Genomic DNA, 23,128 nt, shown 5'->3' with positions numbered 1-23,128 from the left:
CTTTGTCACCCAGGCTGAGTGCAGTGGCATGATCACAGATCACTACAGCCTCAAACCCCTGGGCTCAAGCAATCCTCCCGCCTCAGCCTCCTGAGTAGCTGGGACTACAGGTGGGCGCCACCACACTTGGCTAATTTTTTACTTTTTCATAGAGATGGGGTCTTGCTGTGTTGCCCAGGCTGGTCTCAAACTCCTGGACTCAAGTGATCCTCCCACCTCTGCCTCCCAAAGTCCTGGGATTATAGGTGTGAGCCACTGTGCCCAGCTGGGATTTCTTTTTTGAGAGGGTGTTTCGCTCTTGTCCCCCAGGCTGGAGTTCAGTGGCGCCACTTTGCTCACTGCAGCCTCTGCCTCCCGGGTTCAAGCGATTCTCCTGCCTCAGCCTGCCGAGTAGCTGGAACTACAGGTGTCCACCACCACGCACTGCTAATTTTTGTATTTTTAGTAGAGACGGGGTTTTACTATGTTGGCCAGGTTGGTCTCAAACTCCTGACCTCAGGTGATCCACCCGCCTCCCAAAGTGCTGGGATTATAGGCGTGAGCTACCACACCTGGCCTGGATTTCTTTTTTTTAAGCAACGTAACTACAATACCATCATTACATCTATAAAAATTTAAATGTCAATATCAAATATTCAGTTGGTATTCAGATTTTTCAGTTGTTTTTTAAATGTTGAGTGCCTTTTTTCTCCATGCAACTTATTGAAGAAACTGGATTATTTATCCATACAGTCTCCCACAGTCTCGATTTTTTGACTAAATCCTTGTGGGATTATTTAACATGTTCTTTGTATCTTAACGTAAATTGAAAATTATTTCTAGAGGTTTGACGGATTTAGGTTTTTTGGTTGGCTGATTGTTTTTATGTGACTACTTTTACAGGTGGTTTTGTGTTCTTTTGATAGGAGACATTCATTCATTCATTCATTTATTTATTTATTTATTTATTTATTTATTTATTTATTTTGAGATGGGGTCTTGCTCTGTTGCCCAGGCTGGAGTGCGGTGGCATGATTTCAGTTCACTGCATCCTCCACCTCCCAGGCTCAAAGTTCTCCCACCTCAGCCTCCTGAGTAACTGGGACTACAGATGCAAGCCACCAAACCCAGCTAATTTTGTTTATTTTTTGTGGAGATGAGGTCTCAAACTCCTAGACTCACGATCCCAGCTACTTGGGAAGCTGAGGGTGGTCACAAACTCTTGGGCTTAAGTGATCTTCCCGCCTTGGCCTCCCAAAGTACTGGGATTACAGGTGTGAGCCACTGCATCTCTGACCTAATTATTTTTTAATGTTAGCTGCCATTGATTATCAATGCTTAGATCCATTCATTCAATAAGATTTCAGACTTGCTCTCACTGTGTTATTTCTTCTTCCTAAGTATCATTGTAACTCATGGATTTTAACATTTGGCTTTAGTTCATTTCAGTTATTGTTCTTACTGGTCTGCAAATTGCCCTATTTTGGACCAGTGAAAGCTTGTTCAGATTGACTCCTTAGTCCTTTTGACATGTCCTAGTTACAATGGATTTTTAAAATAATATTTGCTTGTCGGTTTAATCAGATATATAAAATACAGTGCTATGACGCTGAGTGTGGTGACTCATGTCTGTAATCCCAGCAGTTTGGGAGGCCAAGATGGGCAGATCACTTGAGGTCAGGAGTTCGAGACCAGTCTGGCCAGCATGGTGAAACCCTGTCTCTACTAAAAATACAAAAATGGTTGGGTGCCCTGGCTCATGCCTGTAATCCCAGCACTTTGGGAGGCCAAGGTGAGTGGATCATCTGAGGTCAGGAGTTCAAGACCAGCCTGGCCAACATGGCAAAACCCCATCTCTACTAAAGATACAAAAATTAGTTGGGCATGGTGGCGGGTGCCTGTAATCCCAGCTACTCGGGAGGCTGAGGCAGGAGAATTGCTTGAGCCTGGGAGGCGGAGGTTGCCGTGAGCCAAGATCACGCCATTGCACTCCAGCCTGGGCAGCAGAGCAAGACTCCGTCTCCAAAAAAAAAAAAAAATTACAAAAATTAGTCAGGCATGGTTGCGTGTGCCTGTAATCCCTGCTACTCGGGAGGCTGAGTTGAGAATTGCTTGAACTGGGAGGCAGAGGTTGCAGTGAGCCAAGACTGTGCCACTGCACTCCAGCCTGGGTGACAGAGGGAGACTCTGTCTCAGAAAAAAAAACCAAAACAATGCTATGCTATATATATATGTTGAAACACTAAAATCTATTGCTGAAGTATCTTACTAAAATATTGGAAATTTAATGTCTAACCAATATACCTAAATGCCTCTGTTTATTCTAAAATATTTCTTCTTTGTCTGTAGACCAGATTATCAAAAATTCTCATGATTAAAAAGGAACATATCAAGAAATTAAGGGAAATGAACACAGAAGCAGAAAAATTGGTAAGAATTTCTCTTTTTTTTTCTTCATTTGCTTGTCTAATTTTAAAATAGTGAGACCATCTATATCTAATGATTTAAAAATATCTATGGAAGGAAACCTTCAGATAAATATTATTTTTAAATCCTCATTTGCATGAGGTCCACACCTGTAGTCCACCTTCTTGGGAGGCTGAAGCAAAAGGATTGCTTGAGTCTAGAGTCAGAGACTGCAGTGAGCTATGATTCTACCACTACAGTCTAGCCTGGGTGATAGCGAGACCCTGTCTCAGTAAATGAATGAATACAGGAATACATACATACATACAACAGTAAATCTTCATTGCTATCACTATCTCTTGTTATACAGAACATATGCTAAGTAAATTGGCAGTGCATTGCCCCAGACCTCATTATGCCATTGACTGTACAGTTGAATAGGATTAATGGATATATTAGGTTCTTTCAGCAGTTTGCATGAGTCTAGAATTGCTCAGATACCTGTGACCAAGGAAGTTGTAATGGCAGGTTATAAAAAATGTTTCAGAATAAGTAAGTCAGGAAATATCTATGTTGTCATCTTTAGGTTATCTTGACAACGTTTATATCCTAATTTATTATCTAATGAGTTCAAAAAATGAGAGCCAATTTTATTCATAAGATAATTACCAGAAGTCTTTTTTTTTTTTTTTCTGAGATGGAATTTTGCTCGTCGCCCAGGCTGGAGTGCAATGGTGCAATCTCGGCTCACTGCAACCTCCACCTCCCGGGTTCAAGTGATTCGCCTGCCTCAGCCTCTCAAGTAGCTAGGATTACAGGCGCACACCACCACGACCAGCTAATTTTTGTATTTTTAGTAGAGACGGGGTTTCGCCATGTTGGCCAGGCTGCTCTGGAACTCCTGACCTCAGGTGATCCACCCACCTCGGGATTACAGGTGTGAGCCACAGCACCCAGCCAGCCACAGCACCCGGCCCAGAGTTTTTTAAAAAGCTGTTTATGTAGGCACTATTCACTAAGAAAGTCTTTGAATTGTAATGAAATTCACATCTTGCTTAAGGATATGTAGGATGGCAAATAGGTTTTATCTCATGTACTATCTCCAGTTTATTGAAAATGACTGTATAGAAGTCTGAAAGGGAGGGCTCTGACTGTGCTCAAGGGGCAAAGTGCTGTGACTGATGATCAGTGTCTGTTGTAAGTGCAGGAATGGGAATAGTGGCACTGGGAATCTCTGGAATGAAATGTTATAAGGGTATAGGTGTGGATACAGTTAGGTATCTACAGCTGCAAAAGTAGATACCTAAGTGAATAAAGAACAATCCTCTTTTAGGATTATAGAATTTTTTTTATCCAAAAATTACTGAATTTTTAAGACCAAAAATGTCAGGTGATTTCAGCGTAAGATCATACTGCTCTCTTTAGCAGTACAGGTATTAAAACTTGGGTTTATTTCCCAGTTTAACTCATTTAAGCATAACATGAAATTAGTATTATCAGATACACAAGCCATCCGAAAATGAAAAGGATTAGCTATAGCATATTGCCATTACATATCTTAAACATAGAAATGTATGTGCGTGCTTCTTTCCTACTGGACTCTAATTCTTGGTTTCCATCAGTTCTACTTCTGCCCTTTATATTCGATGCCTTTTCAGTGCTCTTCCACCCCACTTCTGTTTTTCTCTGGTCACCTTATCATCTCTTCTATCTTTATGTATAAATGAATTATTTCCCTTTAATATCACTAGTTAGGACTGTTTTCTTCTAAGTTCCATGCTTTAAAGCACTGGGCTTGCCTTTGCCCAGTTAATCTTATCTGCTTTCAAATAGAGACCTATTTTGGGTTGTTTCGCAAACCAAGGAGATGTAGGCTTCAGTGTAAAACGAATTTGTATTCCCAGAGACCGTTTTGATGTTGGCTTGGCTTCTTAGCATATGAGAACTCTGTAGAAGTAATCTAGTTGGCTTGATATGTTTTATTATTTGTTTTATTTATGTAAAAATAGTTTCCCTATAAAAATTCAAATATTATGAAATGATTTAATGAGTCAAACTGTAGTTCTTTATAATGCCTTCTCCATAAATAGTATTAAGTTAGCATATGTTATAAATATGTTTATTTATATGTTTACCATATGGATTTCTTTTTCTGTGCATATACTAAAAATTATTTTCATGCAAAATGGAATTAAATTATGATATATTGGCTTATCTTTTAAAATGATTGTATTGTACCATAATTTAAACAACTTCCTGTTAACATATTTATTTCCAGCATTTTATTAATATAATGCTAATATTTTTGTGCATTTGTTTGTGTCTATCTGTAGGATAAATTTTAGAAAGTAAAATGAAAGATTTAATGAAAGTTAATTTAAAGATGGTAGGCTGAACAAATTTTTTTCATATCCTTTATAATTGCACATAGAATATGAGGTACAAAAAGAAGTAAACAGAAAAAATGAAGCAGTCTGCTTAACAATGTCTATGAGATTTCGAAATTTTTTCTGGCATGTTTTTAAATGAAACAGAAACCATAGCTACAAGAGGCCCTAGATCCAGAGTTGGCAAATATGATGAAGTGCAGAAGTGAGATTAGTATTTTAAAAGGCAATTAATTCAAGGTCTTTCTCCTTGTTCCCCTTCTTCATCTCAGTGACAGAACTCAAACGTGGCATTTACTCAAGTTAAATGGAGAGAAAGAAGCACTTCTCTAAAGAATTTGAATGTACTATTTGGGGAAAGTTAAGGTTTTTTTCTGCTTTTGGTAAGAGTAGACTAGGTAATTTGGATTAACCTTCCTGCTGTAAATAACTGTTTCCTCTGGAATAAAATATTAAAATAACCTGCTTGAAGAACACTGGAGCATTAACAAGGCATTAAGAAGGCCTGGCACAGTGGCTCATACCTGTAATCCCAGCACTTTGGGAGGCCAAGGCGAGTGGATCACTTGAGGTCACGAGTTCAAGACAAGCCTGGCCAACATGGCAAAACCCTGTCTCTACTGAAAATAAAAAAAATTAGCTGGGTGTGATAGGTGTGCACCTGTAATCCCAGCTACTTGGGAGGCTGAGGCAGGAGAGTCGCTTGAACCCACGAAGCAGACATTGCAGTGAGCCAAGATTGTGCCACTGTACTCTAGCCTGGGCAACAGAGCGAGACTCTGTCTCAAAAAAAAAAAAAAAGAAAGAAAACAAACAACAAGGCATTAAGGAATTATAGGATCTGGGAAAAGAAGGAAAGAAGTAAGGGGGAACCTGATGTTCAGGGTTGCTTTTTCCTTGGGGACTTCTGCAAGTTCCAGAAAAGCTAGCTGAGAAGCTAAGTGGCATTCTTGAAAGGCTTAAGTGGGTTGGAGGCCAAAATTAGAGTCCAGAGACCCACCAAGGGTTGGGAGAAGTTGGCAAACTTTAAGTCCTCTTTGGAGGAATATAGCATTTTTATAGGCCTCAAATTATTTCTATAAATTTTTATATATAGTATCTAAAACTCAATTTAAATTCAAGACACAATAGGAGACACAATAACCCTAAGGAAAAAAGAAAATCAACTGTAGACAGTAGGTAGACTAGACAATGGAGTTTTTAGAAATATATTTTAAATGCTTAATTTGTTAAAAGAGATGAGACAAAATTGAGAATTTTAGAAGAGAACTGGAAACAACAATAAAAAAGACCAAATGAAAACTATAAACTCTAGCAATCAAAATTAAGAACTCGGTGGATACAACCACAGCAGATTAGAAACAGCTAAAGAGAGAGCTAGTAATTTAAAATAGATCAGAAGAAAATATCCCGAATGAAACATGAAGATAAAAATGAGTGGAAAATTTAGAAGAGAAGAGACGATAAATAGGAAATACAGTGAGGAAGGTCTAATGTGTAACGGAATAGCAGAAGGAAAAAGAAAGAATGGGACAAAAGCAGTATTTTAAAAGATAATGACTAAAGGCGTTCCAAAACCGTCAAAAGGCAACAAGCCACAGATAAATTCCTATCAACCCCAATGAGATAAATAAATTGATAGTGACTTTTAGACACATTATCTTTTTTTTTTTTTTTTTTTTTGAGACAGAGTCTCGCTCTGTCACCCAGGCTGGAGTGCAGTGGCACAATCTCAGCTCACTGCAAGCTCCGACTCCCAGATTCACACCATTCTCCTGCCTTAGCCTCCCAAGTAGCTGGGACTACAGGCGCCTGCCACCACACCCAGCTAATTTTTTGTATTTTTTTTTTTTTTTTAGTAGAGACGGGGTTTCACCATGTTGGCCAGGATGGTCTCGATCTCCTGACCTCATGATCCACCAGCCTTGGCCTCCCAAAGTGCTGGGATTACAGGCGTGAGCCACCGCGCCCGACCTAGGCACGTTATCTTAAAACTGCTGAAACTAAACACAAAGTGAAAAAATGTTAGAGTACCCAGGGCAGGATGGGAGTGGGGAGTATGTACAAACGAGCAACCAACAATTTGTCTGAGAGCTACCATCTCCACAGAAACAATAGAAGACAGAAGATAATGGAATGACATCTTCACAGGGCTGAAACAAAATAACTACCAACCTAGATTTCCATAACCAGTGAAAATGCCTTCAAGGATAAAGTTACAAGGACAGTTGTAGACAAATTTATGGACTTTCTTACCAGAATACCTACATTAAAGGAAATACTAAAGTTTTTGTTTAAGCAGAAGAAAAAACTTGAAGTTTGTAAAAGAAACATGAAGATTCAGGGAATGAAGAAACAACAAAAAGGGTAAATATGTGGATTAATCTAAGTGACACATTAAATAACTCTTGTGGCACTTAAAGTATAGAGAGAATTATACAATTGTCTGTTGGTCAGGGTAGGGGTGTATATACATATAGGCCTAGATAAATCAAAGATGGATGACATTTTAATCTCTAACCTATTAAAATAATAGTAAAAGATGAATATTTATCAAGCTAATTAGGGGGAAGTAGGTGGGAAATGGAACAATAAAAATGTTTAATTGGGGCTGGGTATAATGGCTCATGCCATTGGATTGCTTGAGGCCAGGAGTTTGAGACTAGCCTGGCCAACATAGCCAAACCCCGTTTCTAGTAAAAATACAAAAATTAGCCAGGCGTGGTGGCACACAGCTATAATCCCAGCTACGCAGGAGGCTGAGGCAGGAGAATCACTTGAACCCAGGAAGCAGAGAGAGGTTGCAGTGAGAGCCCAGACCACGCCACTGCACTCCAGCCTGGCCAGCAGAGCAAGACTGAGTCTCAAAAAAAAAAAATTTTTGTTTTTTAGAAAAATTAGCCAGGCATGGTATAGTTCCAGCTCCTCAGGAGACTGATGGGGGAGGATTGCTTGAGCCCAGAAGTTTGAGGCTGTGGTGAGCTAGGATGGTACCGCTGAACTCCAGTCTGGGTGACAGAGTGAGACCCTGTTTCTTGGGGGGGGGGAAAAAAGACAAGTATGTGACTGGCAGAACTAAGAAACTTTAACAAAACACTGTATTGGTGAGGATGTAGACAAGTAGGCATTCTTACACATAAATTAGTACATCTTTTATGAAGGGTGTAGCAATTCTTATGCCTCAGTCTCCTGTGTCCAATCATATTTCTATACCACTGTCCATATGCTTTGTGAACCTAAGCACAAAAATTGACAGTTTATTTTGTATTCTTCATTCTGAAGACTCTGGCGTCACATAAAATTATAACCAAATAAATGTGTATGCCTTTTTTCCTATTAATCTCTCTTTTGTCAGTGATTTTCAGTGAGCCTTCAGATGGTGAAGGGGAGTTCCCTCTGGCCTCTACAGGTGCTTTGGCAATATCTATCAAGATTTAAAATGCTCAAATCCTTTGATTTAGCAGTTGCACTCCTGGAAACTTCTACACTTATGTTTGCCTTTGTCCAAAATGACTACATGTTCATTGCAGCATGTTTGCAAGATCTGAAGGTTAGAAACAACCTGAATGTTCATCAAGAAGGAGCATGTTTATACACTTTAGGTGGGAATATAAGTTAATTGAAGTCTTTTTGGAAGGTAGCTTGGCCATACTGACGGGCCAGAAATTTTACTTCTAGAGTATCATTCAGAAGATGCGCATACAAGGATGTTCATCACAGCATTGTTGTAATAGCAAAAAATTGTAAATGGTTAAATGAATATCTGTAGAGGACTAGTCAAATAAATCCATACCCTTGATCATGAACTGCTAAATCTGATATTTTCCATCTTGTCCCTTATAAGCTCATATTTTTACAGACTGTTTGCCTTCAACATGAACCTGTAAGCCACACAAGAAAATCTTTCATTACTTTGTGATCATACCTGGTTTTTTATCAGAATGTATTAGTTATTTCTAATGGTTCAAATGCCTCACCTTATTCATACAAGCCTAATTGAATGTCATATTTTTGACTTGTTTTTATTTTATTTATTTATTTTTTGAGACGGAGTCTTGCTTTGTCACCCAGGCTGGAGTGGAGAGGCACGATCTCGGCTCACTGCAACGTCTGCCTCCCAGGTTCAAGCGATTCTCCTGCCTCAGCCTCCCGAGTAGCTGGGATTACAGGCATGCGCCACCGCGCCCGGCTAATTTTTTATATTTTTGGTAGAGACGGGGTTTCACCATGTTGGCCAGGCTAGTCTTTAACTCCTGGCCTCAAGTGATCTACCCTCCTCCACCTCCAAAAGTAATTTTTAGGCCAGGCACGGTGGCTCACGCCTGTAATCCCAGCACTTTGGGAGGCTGAGGTGGGTGGATCACTTGAGGTCAGGAGTTCGAGATTAGCCTGGCCAACATGGTGAAACCCCACCTCTAGTAAAAATACAAAACTTAGCCCGGCGCAGGTAGCCTGCACCTGTAATCCCAGCTATTCGGGAGGCTGAGGCAGGAGAATCACTTGAACCTTGGAGGTGGAGGTTGCAGTAAGCCGAGATTGTGCCACTGCACTCCAGCCTGGGCGACAGAGCAAGACTCCATCTCAAAAAATAATAATAATTTTTAATTGTATGTGTATATGTGTAAAATGAATATACTTTTCTTTAAAAAATTACCATTCTTATTGAGTTTCATGTGTGTTTTTCTTTCTTTGTATTTATTTTTTAATGTATAAATACCTATAGAATATATACTATTGGGTTTTTTTGAGGAGGGGACCTTTTTTTTTTTTTTTTTTTTTTGAGACGGAGTCTCGCTCTGTTGCCCAGGCTGGAGTGCAGTGCTGTAATCTTGGCTTACTGCAACCTCTACCTCCTGGGTTTAAGCGATTCTCCTGCCTCAACCTCCCAAGTAGCTGGGATTACAGGCACGCACCACCACGCCCAGCTAATTTTGTGTATTTTTAGTAGAGATGGGGTTTCACCATGTTGGCCAGGCTGGTCTCGAACTCCTGACCTCAAGTGATCTGCCCGCCTTGGCCTCCCAAAGTGCAGGGATTACAGGCCTGAACCACCATGCCCGGCCAAGGGCAGACATTTTTAAATAAATTTTATACTATGTAACATTCTGCTTTTCACTGTATAGTATCAGTAAATATAGATCACTCTCTTCAATCCTAGTGTTAGAAGATCTTTAAATTGTTAGCAATCTGATAGGTGAAATATAAATCTCATTGTTTTATTTTGTATTTCTAAGGCTACTAGTGGAATTAAGCATCTTTTTGTATTTTAATTGGCCATTTATATTAACAAAATTATTTGTTTCGCATGTTACCATAGTACAGAAAATTTAAATTTTGATGTAGTCAAATACAGTTGACCCTCAAACAACATGGGGGTTAGGGGTGCAACCCCCGCCAGCAGTCAAAAATCCGCATATACCTTTTGACTCCCCTAAAACTTAACTACTAATAGCCTACTGTTGACCAGGAGCTTTACTGATAACCTAAATAGTAGATGAACACATATCTTCTATATGCATTATATACTGTATCCTTACATAAAGTAAGCTAGAGAAAAGGAAATGTTAAGAAAATCATAAGGTAAAGAAAACATATTCATTATTCATTAAGCGGGAGTAGATCATAAAGGTTTTCATCCTTGTCATCTTCACGTTGAGTAGGCTGAGGAGAAGGAGGAAGTGGAGGGGTTGGTTTTGCTGTCTCAGGTGGCAGAGGCAGAAGAGGTAGAGGAGATGGAAGGGAAGGCAGGAGAAGCAGGCACACTGCTGTAACTTTTGAAAAAGTCTGCATCTATACGATCTGGTAGGCTGTTGCAAAAATTAATTTTAAAAAAAGTCTGCATATAAGTAATGTAAGTGGACCTGCACCATTCAAACCTGTGTTGTCTGAGGGTCAGCTCTATATCAGCCTGTTCCTTTTTCTGGTATTTGTAACTTGTTTAAAATAGCTTCTTTACCTCTTATTCATAAACATATTCTCCTGTCTTCTCATGATACTTTTATAGTTTCTTTTAATATTTAGACCTTCAGTACATCCTAAAATTTTGTGAATGATTTGAGTACAGAGAGCTTTTTTCCTCAAATAGATAATTGTTCCAATTTATTAATAGTTCATCCTTTCCCACTGATTTGAAAGGCCAGCTTTACTATATACAAAATTTCCAAACAATATACATATATTCGTACACACACAAACATATGTGCCAGGCATACATATACATATGTGTTGGAATTCAGTATAGACTGGCCACCATTCTCTCCCATTGGTGTATTTGTCTCCCATGTCAATACCATACTGTTTGATAACTACCAGTACAAGTCCCTCCATTTGTCTTTCTCTTTCAAAATTGGTTTGGTCATTCTTGTACATTTATTCTTCTATATTAACCCTTTATTATTTAGATGTTTAAGAAGATAAGGGAAATATTTTCCATCATTGGGAGATACTCAAAAAGATAAAGACTTTGAGAACAGCTTCAAAAAAGGGAGCTCAAAAAATATTTTTAGAAGTTGGAGATATAACCAGATGATAATTTTGACAGGAAGTATATATCTGTTTAGTGTTGGAATTTTTTTTATGGTTCATTAGTTACATCACCCCCTTTTCTTTTTTTTTTTTGAAACAGAGTCTCGCTCTGTCGCCCAGGCTGGAGTGCAGTGGCGCGATCTCAGTTCACTGCAAGCTCCACCTCGCGGGTTCATGCCATTCTCCTGCCTCAGCCTCCCGAGTAGCTGGGACTGCAGGCACCTGCCACCACACCCAGCTAATTTTTTGTATTTTTAGTAGAGACGGGGTTTCACCGTGTTAGCCAGGATGGTCTCGATCTCCTGACCTCGTGATCCACCCGCCTCAGCCTCCCAAAGTGCTGGGATTACAGGCGTGAGCCACCGCACCCGGCCTATATCACCCCATTTTGTAATGCATTAGCCATCTCCCAATTTCATACATTTTGATGTATACTGTATATGTAAACCCTTTGTACATCTTTAATTCATTAAAATGTTGAACACAAAAGATGAAGATAGAGACTTTTGACACCCTCAAATTCGCTGTAAGAGATAGAGCTTTTAATGATTTTGATTTTGATTAACTAGTTCTGAGTCTGCAAAAGTATACACTTTTCCCCGAGAAGAGGCTTGATCAAATACTTAGTTATAATTTATGTTACACTATATCCTCAGTAACCCCCAATTCCCAACAAGGAAATGAAATTAAATTCAGCATGTCCTGCATTATCCCTGCATTCTTATAGAAAATCTTTCGGATGATCCAGTGGTTTTAACTTCACAAAAACTGAGGTTTACGAATAGGAAGCAATTCAGGAAGCACCAATGGTAAACTAAAAGTAGGATGTCCTGGATATGATTCCAGGCCTATGTGGAAATTATCCCTTCCCTACTCCCACTGTGGCATTCCCTCCCCTCTTTCTCTTTTACTGCTTCAGATCTATAGTAGCAGAGGAATTCTAACTGATGCAAACTGGCTTCAGATCCCACAAGGTTACCACTTACTGGCTGCGGTACATGGGCCTCATATGTAAAATGGAGACAATAAGCAATAATATCTTCTTTCTCATGGGGTTATTGTGAGGATTCAATGAAATCCTTTAAAAACACTTAGAACATTAGCCAGGCATAGTGGCACATGCCTGTAGTCCAAGCTACTTGGGAGGCTGAGACAGGAGGATCCTTTGAGTCCAGGAGTTTGAGGCTGCACTGAGTTATGATCATGCCACTGCAGTCCTGCCTGGGCAACAGAGTGAGACCCTGTCTCTAAAAAACAAAACAGGCCAGGCGCGGTGGCTCACACCTGTAATCCCAGCACTTAGGGAGGCCAAGGCAGGCAGATCACTTGAGGTCAGGAGTTCGAGACCAGCCTGGCCAACATGATGAAACCCCATCTCCACTAAAAGTACAACAATTAGCCAGGTGTGATGGCACGCACCTGTAGTCCCACCTACTTGAGAGGCTGAGGCAGAAGGATTGCTTGAGCTTAGGAGGCAGAGGTTGTAGTGAGCGGAGATCACGTCATTGCACTCCAGCCTGGGTGACGGGAGTGAAACCCTGTCTCAAAAAAAAAAAAAAAAAAACTTAGAACAAGCTGGGTGTGGTGGCACATGCTATAGTCACAGCTACTTGGGAGGCTGAGGCAGGAGGATGGCTTCAGGCCAGGAGTTCGAGTCTAGCCTGGGCAACATAGCAAGACGCCATCCCAAAAACAACAACAACAAAACCACTCTTAGTGCATGGCACGTTAGTCAGCTCTATTTAGTACATCTGTTGTCATCATTAAGTAATCAGCACATCATTAATAGTGTGTGCTGTTAAGTCATTTAACTTTTCTAGGCCTCAGTTTTCTCCTCTGTAAAATGGTATGGCTTAACTAGATGACCTCTGAGGTTTCTGTTAGCTCAGTCTATAATTCTGTGATTTGGAACCTATATAAGTAGTTCCTCCCTAGGTCTAGGAAAGTTTTCTTTCCCTACCTATACTTACTAGAAGGAGCGATTTTGCTTCCTTAGTGCATAACAACGTGCTTTCTCAGAAATCCTCTGAAAAAAGAAATGTTAAATTTTCCTTGACTAGAGAGGTTTCATTGCCAGCATTTTTAGCAGGAATGAAATGGAGAGTATAATTTATTGGAAGTATTGTGAAGAGAGGGAAGGAAATGGCATCAAAGTCCATTAACACTTGTTGGTAAGGAGCATATATGGAATGATGACACAATAAAAAGTTAATATCCATTGAGCATCTTCTATGTGGGAAGCACTGTGCTAGCATGTATTATCTCATTTAATCTTTGCAACAACCCCACTAGATAGATATTCTTATAATCCCCATTTTGCAGTTGAGGAACATGAGGCACAGAGAGATTAAGAAACTTCCTTAACATCACACAGCTAGATGATGATAGAGGTGGAATTTGAACATATATAATCTGATTCTAATACCCACGCTCTTAAACCATTATGCTATACTGAATTGATTCCAGGTACAGCGTCAATTGATTTAAATAACTAGAATGCTTTAAATGAGGACATACGGTTTAACAACTAACAATCCTATGAAAAAGTTGAAAGACGAATATAACGAACATTGCTTACACATTTATCAATTAACATTTTGCTCCATTTAATTTATCTCTATAGAAGATCTCCTTTTCAAAAAAGCAAATGGCAGACATCATGATGCTCCAATAAACAAGGACAATCTCCTAAATAACAATGCCATTATCACAGACAAGACTATAACAATTAAAACAGACAAATTTAATAACCTTTAGTTTGCTTTTTAGATAAGTCAAATCTCCTTTTAGATCATTGAAATTGCATTGCTAAAAAACAAACTCTTACCAAGATCTGATTTTTTTCTCTTCTCAGAAATCATATTCCATGCCCATCAGCATTGAATTTCAGCGGAGATATGCAACAATTGTTCTGGAGCTTGAACAGCTGAACAAGGACCTAAACAAAGTTTTGCATAAAGTTCAACAGTATTGCTATGAGGTAAGTGATATGTATAGATTTCCCTCCATATTTGTATTTGAAGCTTAATCCTTTTACTTTCACACTTTAGAAAATCCATACCAAGCCAATATCTTCATAAAGTCCTTTAGCAGAACTGTATTATATAAAGTTTCTTACTCCTCCCAGCATCAGTGTTGAAGAGTGCTTTATACACAGAAAGCTGTCAATTCTGAGTTTTTTGGTTCAAGATACAAATAAGGCCCTCCAAAAAAATTTGGAAAAATCCAGAAAACTAATTACTCTTAATTCCACTACCCCAGAAACCAAATTTTGTTGTTGTCATTGTTTTTTCTTCTTCTTTATTTATTTATTTATTTTTTTTGAGACAGGGTCTAGCTCTGTTGACCAGGCTGGAGTACAGTGATGCAATCTTGCAATCTTGGCGAACTACAGCCTCAACTTCCCAGGCTCAAGCTATCCCCCAACCTCAGCCTCCTGAGTAGCTGGAACCACAGGTGCACGACATGCCCAGTTTATTTTTTATAGAGATGAAGTCTCGCTATGTTGCTCAGGCTGGTCTCAAACTCGTGGGCTCAAGCGATCCTCCTACCTTGGCCTTCCAAAGTACTGAGATATAGGTGTGAGCCACTGTGCCCAGCCCCAAAGACCAAATTTTGCTTTATTTCTTCTTAGTCTTTTTTGGTTGTTTTTTTGTTTTTGTTTTTTAAACAATACCTGCTTTTTCTCACAAAGTTCTGATCATGCTGGCCATACAATTTTGTTGCCTTCTCTTTTAAACCTTAAATTAGCATTAGAACTATGAATTCTTGAATTTCAAATACATAGATAACAGGGTTGTTTGTGAATTTTCATTCACATGTGATCATATGAGAGTGGTTCAACAGTTTCATCCAAAATTTGAGTTTCCTACTACAGGGTAAGAATTAAAATGATTCAGTTGAGTTTAAAATGCTCCTGAATTTGCATACTTTGAGGTTGTGTGTTTCCAGGAAAGCCACCTCTATTTGTGATATCAGATTCTTTTTTTTTTTTTTTTGAGACAGAGTCTTACTCTGTTGCCCAGGCTGGAGTGCAGTGGCACAATCTCGGCTCACTGGAACCTCTGCCTCCCAGGTTCAAGCAATTCTCCTGCCTCAGCCTTCTGAGTAGCTAGGATTACAGCTGTGCACCACCATGCCCGGCTAATTTTTTTGTATTTTTAGTAGAGATGGGGTTTCACCATATTATAGGCCAGGCTGGTCTCGAACTCCTGACCTCAAGTGATCCGCCCTCCTCGGCCTCCCAAAGTGCTTGGATTAGAGACATGAGCCACTGTGCCCAGCTGTGATACCAGATTTTTTTTTTTTTTTTTTTTTTGAGACAGAGTTTCGCCCTTGTTGCCCAGGCTGGAGTGCAGTGGCATCATCTCGGCCCACTGCAACCTCTGCCTCCCAGGTTCAAGTGATTCTCCTGCCTCAGCCTCCCGAGTAGCTGGGATTACAGGCATGCATTACCACGCCCAGGTAATTTTGTATTTTTAGTAGAGACAGGGTTTCTCCATGTTGATGAGGCTGGTCTCAAACTCCCGACCTCAGGTGATCCGCCTGCCTCAGCCTCCCAAAGTGCTGGGATTACAGGCATGAGTCACCGCGCCCAGCAATATCAGATTTTTAAACAGTTGGCTTATTTTCCTGATAGTTGTCAGTCATCCACATAACAATATGCATTGTATTAGTAAATAGATTTTCTCCCCTGGACTAGCAATTATTCACAAGACATGCAGACTATGCAGTCCAGGATGACACATAACAAAGCTGATGGTACATGCAGAAACGGGTTGCTCATCAATCTTTTTGTAGTACCCAAGGCCATTTGTGATAGGCTCCTTTCCTAATGAAGTAAAGTGATTTAATCTTCTCAAAGCTCTTATGGAACTACAATATAGATTTTAAAATAAGAACATATCAGAGAGAACACCATGACTAAGCAATTCTACTTCTCAATATATACCAAAAAGATACATCAACATGTATTTACCAAAATACATATACTAGAATGTTCATAGCCTCACTGTTCCTTATAGCCAGAAATCACAAAGTACCCAAATACCCATCAGTACTACAATCAACTAATAAACATGGTATAATTACACAATGGAAATGCTACCCAGCAATGAGAATGAATGAACTCGACTACAACTCAGTGCCATAGATGGATCTCACAAACACAATGTGGAACAAATAAAGTCAGACACGCCGGGTGCGGTGGCTCACGCCTGTAATCCCAGCACTTTGGGAGGCCAAGGCAGGCGGATCACGAGGTCAGGAGATCGAGACCATCCTGGCTAACACGGTGAAAACCTGTCTCTACTAAAAATACAAAAAAAATTAGCTGGGCGTGGTGGCGGGCGCCTGTAGTCCCAGCTACTCGGGAGGCTGAGGCAGGAGAATGGCGTGAACCCAGGAGGCGGAGCTTGCAGTGAGCCGAGATTGCGCCATTGCACTCCAGCCTGGGCAACAGAGCGAGACTCAGTCTCAAGAAAAAATAAATAAATAAATAAATAAAGTCAGACACAAGAGAATATATAATGTATGATTACATTTTTATAAAGCTCAAAAGCTAACCTCTGATGCTAGAAGTCAGGATGGTGATTACCCTGAGGGAGGTGGTACTGGAAGATGGCATTATCAGGGGGTCTGGGGCATTGGTAATATTCTGGTTCTTAATCTAGTTGCTGACTTCTCAGGCATGTTTGATTTGTGAAAACTCATTAACCTGTACACTTTACGATTTGTGTACTTTTATGTATTTATGTATGCTTCAATTTAAATTTTAGAAAAGTATTAAAGGATACAGTTATTCATTGAAGCATTATTGGTAATTAAAAAATATTAGAAATAAACATAAATGCCCACACATAGGGAACTGACTATTTATGGTACATCCACACAATTGAATACTATGCTGCTGTAAGAGAGGAAGTTCTCTATTTACTGACACAGAGTGATTTCCAGGATATGTTATTAGATGCAAAAAGCAAATACGAAAATACACATACATATTCCAAAGTATAACCTTTGGAGTAGGAAATAAGTGGAAATACAATGTATATGTATCAGCTTAATTTTTCAAAAGGAAGCAGAAAGGATACATTAGAAACTAATTTGGGAATGGGGTAGGAGTTGGTGAGCAAGAAGGAATGACATTTTTCTGAGTGTTTGTTTCCCCAACAAATACAAGTAAATGCAAACAGAAATAAATGAACCTAACTATATTTCAAAGGAGTGACATAAACTTACTGAAGGGGATAAAAACTGATTCAGATAGCTTGAACATAGCATAGGTTGAGCATCCCAAGTCTGAAATGCTCCAAAGTCCAAAATTTTTTGAGTGCCAAAGTGAAACTCAAAGGAAATGCTCCCTGGAGCAGTTTGGATTTTGGAGTTTTGTATTTGGGATTCTCAACCGGTAAGTATAATGCAAATATTCTAAAATTTTAAAAAATCCTAAATCCAAAACACTTCTGGTCCCAAGCATTTTGGATAAGGGATACTCAACTTATATTTTGACTGTATACCTTTAGTCTGAACCAAAATTTAAATAAACATTGAACTCTAGTTAGTAGAATTTTTTCTCTTGGTGGCATGCATAGCAGTCCTGAAACTCTTTTTTTTTTTTTTTTTTTTTGAGACGGATTTTCGCTCTTGTCCACCAGGCTGGAGTACAGGGGCGCAATCTCGGTTCACTGCAACCTCTGCCTCCGGGGTTCAAGCGATTCTCCTGCCTCAGCCTCCCCAGTAGCTATGATTACAGGCATGTACCACCATGCCCAGCTAATTTTTATATTTTTAGTAGAGACATGTTGGCCAGGCTGGTCTTGAACTCCTGACCTCAGGTGATCCACCCACCTCGGCCTCCCAAAGTACTGGGATTACAGGCATGAGCCACCACACCCAGCAGCAGTTCTGAAACTCTTACTGTGTACTCTAGGACTGAGCAAAGAAGCAAATAAGTATATTGAACCTGGGAGGCAGAGGTTGCAGTGAGCTGAGATCGCACCACTGCACTCCAGCCTGGGCAACAGAGTGAGACTGTCTCAAAAAAAAAAAAAAAAAATTTAGGATAACGCGAGCCAGGTTTCTCACTGTTGAAGAAGGCAGTTATGAAGAGGGGGAAGACTAGAGTGAACCCTGTGGCATTAGATGGGAATAGGGGGAATCAGTATGAATTCATGGTTTATTTTATCTTTATGCTATATGTATAAGTGAGTGTATATGTCTGCTGAGAGAGCCAAAAGCAAAGACACCCTAATAGCAAAGAACACACTAGACCCAGATCTTGGTCTCTTATCTCTGTTCTCCAATTTAAAAAAGCAGGACTTCTTGAAAAAGAGACTGATTCCAGACCTGAGGCAGAGAAAGAAGATGAGCCCGGCCCACCTTATTATGCCAAGGAAGTAAAATGTGCCCCCAAATTACGGGGACGTGTCAAAAAGGGCCAGCTTGACAGGGTTCCCACTGGCCAAATCTGGGACAATTTGAGCTTCAGAATAAATAAATATAGTAAGAGATTATAACCCATAGAATAAAAGTTATGTCAGTATGGGTTCATACTGATACTAGTTCATTTTTTAAGGGAAACTACTTTGTAGTAAAATGCCAACTAATAAATATAGAAGCAGTGTTAAGAGTGAGAAAAACACCATTTTGCAACCATCATAGTAATAATTGATATAGACAAGAATCATCAACAGATGCTAAAATTGGTAGGTAAAAGTTTGATGACAAATAGGATGTTTACATAGCCTCAAAGTATCTCTTCACAACTACTTAGTACTTACAAAAAGGAAATCCTTTACTGTAGGGAAATCTGGCAGACACTTAACTTACCAATTGATCAAAGAGAACATCACCAGTAATGGGACAGGTCAACATCACGTGCCTTCTAATAAAGATGCCAGAGAACTCAGCACCACATTTGTAGTATTTCTGCCCAAAAATGCATAACTTCAGTCTAATCATAAGGAAACAAACAAACCCACATTGGGGGATATTACACAAAATAATTGGCTCGTACTCTTCAAAAATACCAAGGAAATACAAACTGGAGTGATTAGAGGTAATGAGGCACAGTGTTTGCAACTTATTCTTAAATTAGTAACGGGAAGAATTATACATTCACAGAGATCAAATGGCAGATCAAATGTAGTAAAACATAAACAGTAAATCTGAGTAAATGTTATCAAGAGTTCTTTGTTTTATTCTTTTAACTTTTTTTAGAAGTTTGAAATTATATCAAAATTAAAAATTACAAAAAATAGAAAATCAGAAACTGTTAAAGGAAAAAAACTTCTAAGGTAAGAGTACCACTTTAGTTTTAAATGCTAGTTTTATAAAAATTAAAATCTGAAAAGAGGGCACAAACACATACAGAAATAATCATGGCTTCTCGAACATGCGTCTCATGCTTCAATCATCTGTATTCAGCTTGCTCCAGACCAGGGGCTCCAGCCTGCAGATCAGCCAACAGATATGAGACGCAGGTGTGAGGAAGAAGCACAGGAAATTGTTCGGCATGCAAATTCCTCAACAGGACAGCCCTGCGTTGAAAATGAAAATCTGACAGACTTAATTTCCAGGCTTACAGCTATTTTGTTACAAATTAAGGTAAATCTTAGAGAAAATATTTTCTTAATTTGACACAAAGCAACCCACGCTAATTTGTTGCTAAGAAATTAATTCATTGATTATATCAGGTATTTTATGACTATATTTGAGCTATAATGCAATTAAATTTTGAAATTTTTTTCCCTTTAGTGTCTAGCAGAAGGAGGAGACCTGAATTCCTTTGAATTCAAATCACTTACAGACTCATTAAATGATATCAAGAGTACAATAGACGCTTCTAATATCAGGTAATTCGTTAGGTATACTCTAATCATTTTAATGTGAAGTTCATAGTAATTTTCAGTCCAGGTTTTAAGAATTATGCATATTTGTGAAGTACTCATATATTATTATCCGTTAAATATATTTGTAAGAGCTTTTCACTTATATCCAGCCTATGGACAGAATAGAAATTTCACATGGATTTTGTATATAAAGAAATCAGGACATATATTTAGGTTTGGGGTCAGCATGGAGGTTGAGCTTAGAGGTAGAGCTTCCCCAGTCAGTGAGAGACTCATCTTCTCCTTCCAGCCCCCCGTGGCTCCTTTGCTTCTTTAGAGCATATTTGTTCAACTACTACTGAAGTAGAATTATGGCTAATATATTAGAGGAGATTTATTCCTTCCCTAAGATTTATCATAGCTGTTTCCTAACTAAAATTCAGGTCTTCTTTTAAAAATTTTTTTCTTAATTTTTTGAAATAAAGTAGTTAACCATGTTTCTTCTTTCTTTAGTTGCTTTCAGAATAATGTAGAAATCCATGTTGCACATATTCAGAGTGGCCTGAGCCAGATGGGAAACTTACATGCCTTTGCAGCAAATAACACCAACAGAGACTGAGTAAAGATTTCATTATTCCAACTGCACGGGACATTGTTTTTGAGAAGTTCTTTTCCTTTATATAGGCTTCCAACACCAAATAACCTAACTGCTGGAAAACAAGGGAAATTTAAATCTCCAAATAAGGCATTTTAATAGACTGTACTGCTTCTTAAACCAGCATTGCTGACCAGCATTATATTTATTTTTCTTTTATTATTCAGATGCAGTAGCATTGCTTATGTTACATATGTTTATATTCACAAATATTTTTAAACTGAAATATCTGAACATAATATAATTTCGTGGAAGAATACATTGACCATTTTTTTTAATGTGCATGAATTCACCGCAACACATGCAGACAACTGCTGCAATGGAGAGTATGAAGAAACCTGGTCTTTTTATTCATGTCGGTGGCAGTGTGGAAATTCCATCCAGAAAATTACAACTCCACTTGATTTAGTTGATCACCATCTCAGTCTTCAAAAGATAACATCATGAGGTGTGGGAAGTCCTAGTTTTAAGGAAACCACTGAAATATAGATGGGAAATGTGGACTTTACAAGTATATGTTATATATACTTGCAATGTGACATGGTTCTGTAGATCATTTTATAATAATAAATATTTTAATTTATCATAACATATAAAAGAAACCTTTGTTGTTTGTTGAAAGAAAATGAAGGAACAGGGGGAAAAAAGGTGCAAAATGCTAAATTTCTAAAAATGGATTTGGCATGTCTTCCCATCAGTTCAGGTCAAAAGTGCATTGTTGTGAGATTTATTAAAAAAAAAATGATAACACACTATTTTCATATTTTTTTGTTTATTTGCACAACTTTTAAACCAGATTACTGGTTAAAATCCAACAGTACACAATTTATAAAGTAAAAAGATTTTATAAGGAAAACAAATATAATAACCAGTGCTGTGAAATGCAGAAGAAAGGCTTGTTTTGGTTGTTTTTCTTTTTTAGGAAAACGCTGCCTAAAATGTTAATCTTGTAAAAAGTATGTATTTGGAATTTTCTTCGTTTTAATAGAATATTATAAACTCAAAATATAAATTTTTTTCAAATTTGGAGTTTAAGATATAGCTGTAGAGGTGGTTTTAATTCCTTTAGATGTCTCATAAAATGAGACTTTTTATATGTTAATGTATAATAAAACTGAAACAAGATTATTTTCCATTTGAAATTTTTGTATAGTTTAAAAAGGCTTCCGTATTCTTTGTTGGTATTGTGCCACTGCAGAACTTTAGTGCAGAGTTTATATTTAGCTAAACTGTTATGTTAATTAAGAAATGCATAAATCTTCTATTCTTAATATTTGTAATTCTAAATAAATTGATCTATGAAAATTATTATTTTCTATATTTTCATTTAATTCAAGTCAATATGCATTCCTTCTGTTTAAAAAGTTTTGAAGAATTGTAATTTCCATTAAGTTATATTTTTAGGGGAAACAGTACAGATTACCGAGTCTCTCTGAAGTACCATACCATCCAATGGTATGGATTTTATTTATTACCATACCATACCATCCAGTGATACGGATTTTATTTATTACCATACCATCCAGTGGTATGGTATTAAGCAGGTAAGTTATTTGGCCTGGTATAGACCTAGTGAAAGGTTGATTTTAATATATTCTGCCTAGAATTGGGTATTTTGTGCATTTTTTCTTTTACATTTCTTTTTTTTTTTCTCTGTCGCCCAGGCTGGAGTGCAGTGATGCAATCTCAGCTCACCACAACCTCCAGGTCTTGGGTTCAAGGGATTCTTCCACCTCAGCCTCCTGAGTAGCTGGGATTACAGGCACGCGCCACCACGCCTGGCTAATTTTTGTATTTTTAGTAGAAACAGAGTTTCACCGTATTGGTCAGGCTGGTCTCGAACTCCCAACCTCAAGTGATCCACCTGCCTCAGCCTCCCAAAGTGCTGGGATTACAGGTGTGAGCCACCATACCCGGCCTGTCTTACTTACATTTCTTAAGGCTTATTTGTCACACTTAAATAGTACCTCATTTTACACATATTTAATTGAGCACTGTTTATCTTTCAGTGCCTTCATGTGTTGACAGCAGGGACTGTGCTGGAGAATACAGTTGAATTTTATTTCTGTTTTGGGAGGAAGAAATCTATATTTCCAAGTAGTCATGTTGGGTCAGCCATACATTGATTTGAATGATATGCCACTGCTTAACACACTTTCGGAGCTCTAAAGAAAGCTATCAAAGCCAGATTGAGCAAACATGCAAGCACATACATGGCTTTTATTTATATAGATTTGGTTCTGAGTTACTTTAAGCTAGTTCCAAAAGTCACATTCACTCGTAACCATTGAGAATCTACAAAAATATTTGCCCATTAGCATTTTTGAATCAATGCACCTCTCTCC

At 38.5% G+C, this 23,128-nt stretch overlaps 1 protein-coding gene across 16 annotated transcripts in view; it reads left to right on the top strand.

Moving 5' to 3' along the window:
* The window catches only part of LIN9 (lin-9 DREAM MuvB core complex component), a 78,619-nt gene extending 56,520 nt beyond the window's left edge, over positions 1 to 22,099 (top strand). For 11 of the 16 annotated variants that reach the window (XM_017001084.2, XM_047418546.1, XM_024446565.2 and 8 more), the window contains 5 exons: positions 2,329 to 2,409; positions 14,152 to 14,277; positions 19,725 to 19,904; positions 20,055 to 20,152; positions 20,642 to 22,099. In XM_017001084.2, coding sequence (XP_016856573.2) covers positions 2,329 to 2,409; positions 14,152 to 14,277; positions 19,725 to 19,904; positions 20,055 to 20,152; positions 20,642 to 20,747 — 591 coding nt within the window. In that variant the 3' untranslated portion in view covers positions 20,748 to 22,099. Of the gene's footprint in view, positions 1 to 2,328; positions 2,410 to 5,044; positions 5,234 to 14,151; positions 14,278 to 19,724; positions 19,905 to 20,054; positions 20,153 to 20,641 lie in introns of those variants that run through there. The other 5 variants (NM_001270410.2, NM_001366245.2, XM_047418556.1 and 2 more) reach the window with 3 other exon arrangements.
* The last annotated feature ends 1,029 nt before the right edge of the window (positions 22,100 to 23,128 follow it).

This window comes from Homo sapiens, chromosome 1 (genome assembly GCF_000001405.40).
Source record: "Homo sapiens chromosome 1, GRCh38.p14 Primary Assembly".
NCBI classification, from domain to species: Eukaryota; Metazoa; Chordata; class Mammalia; order Primates; family Hominidae; genus Homo; species Homo sapiens.
Note: the sequence above shows the minus strand (reverse complement) of the source record. Positions and strands in the feature narration are given on the sequence as shown.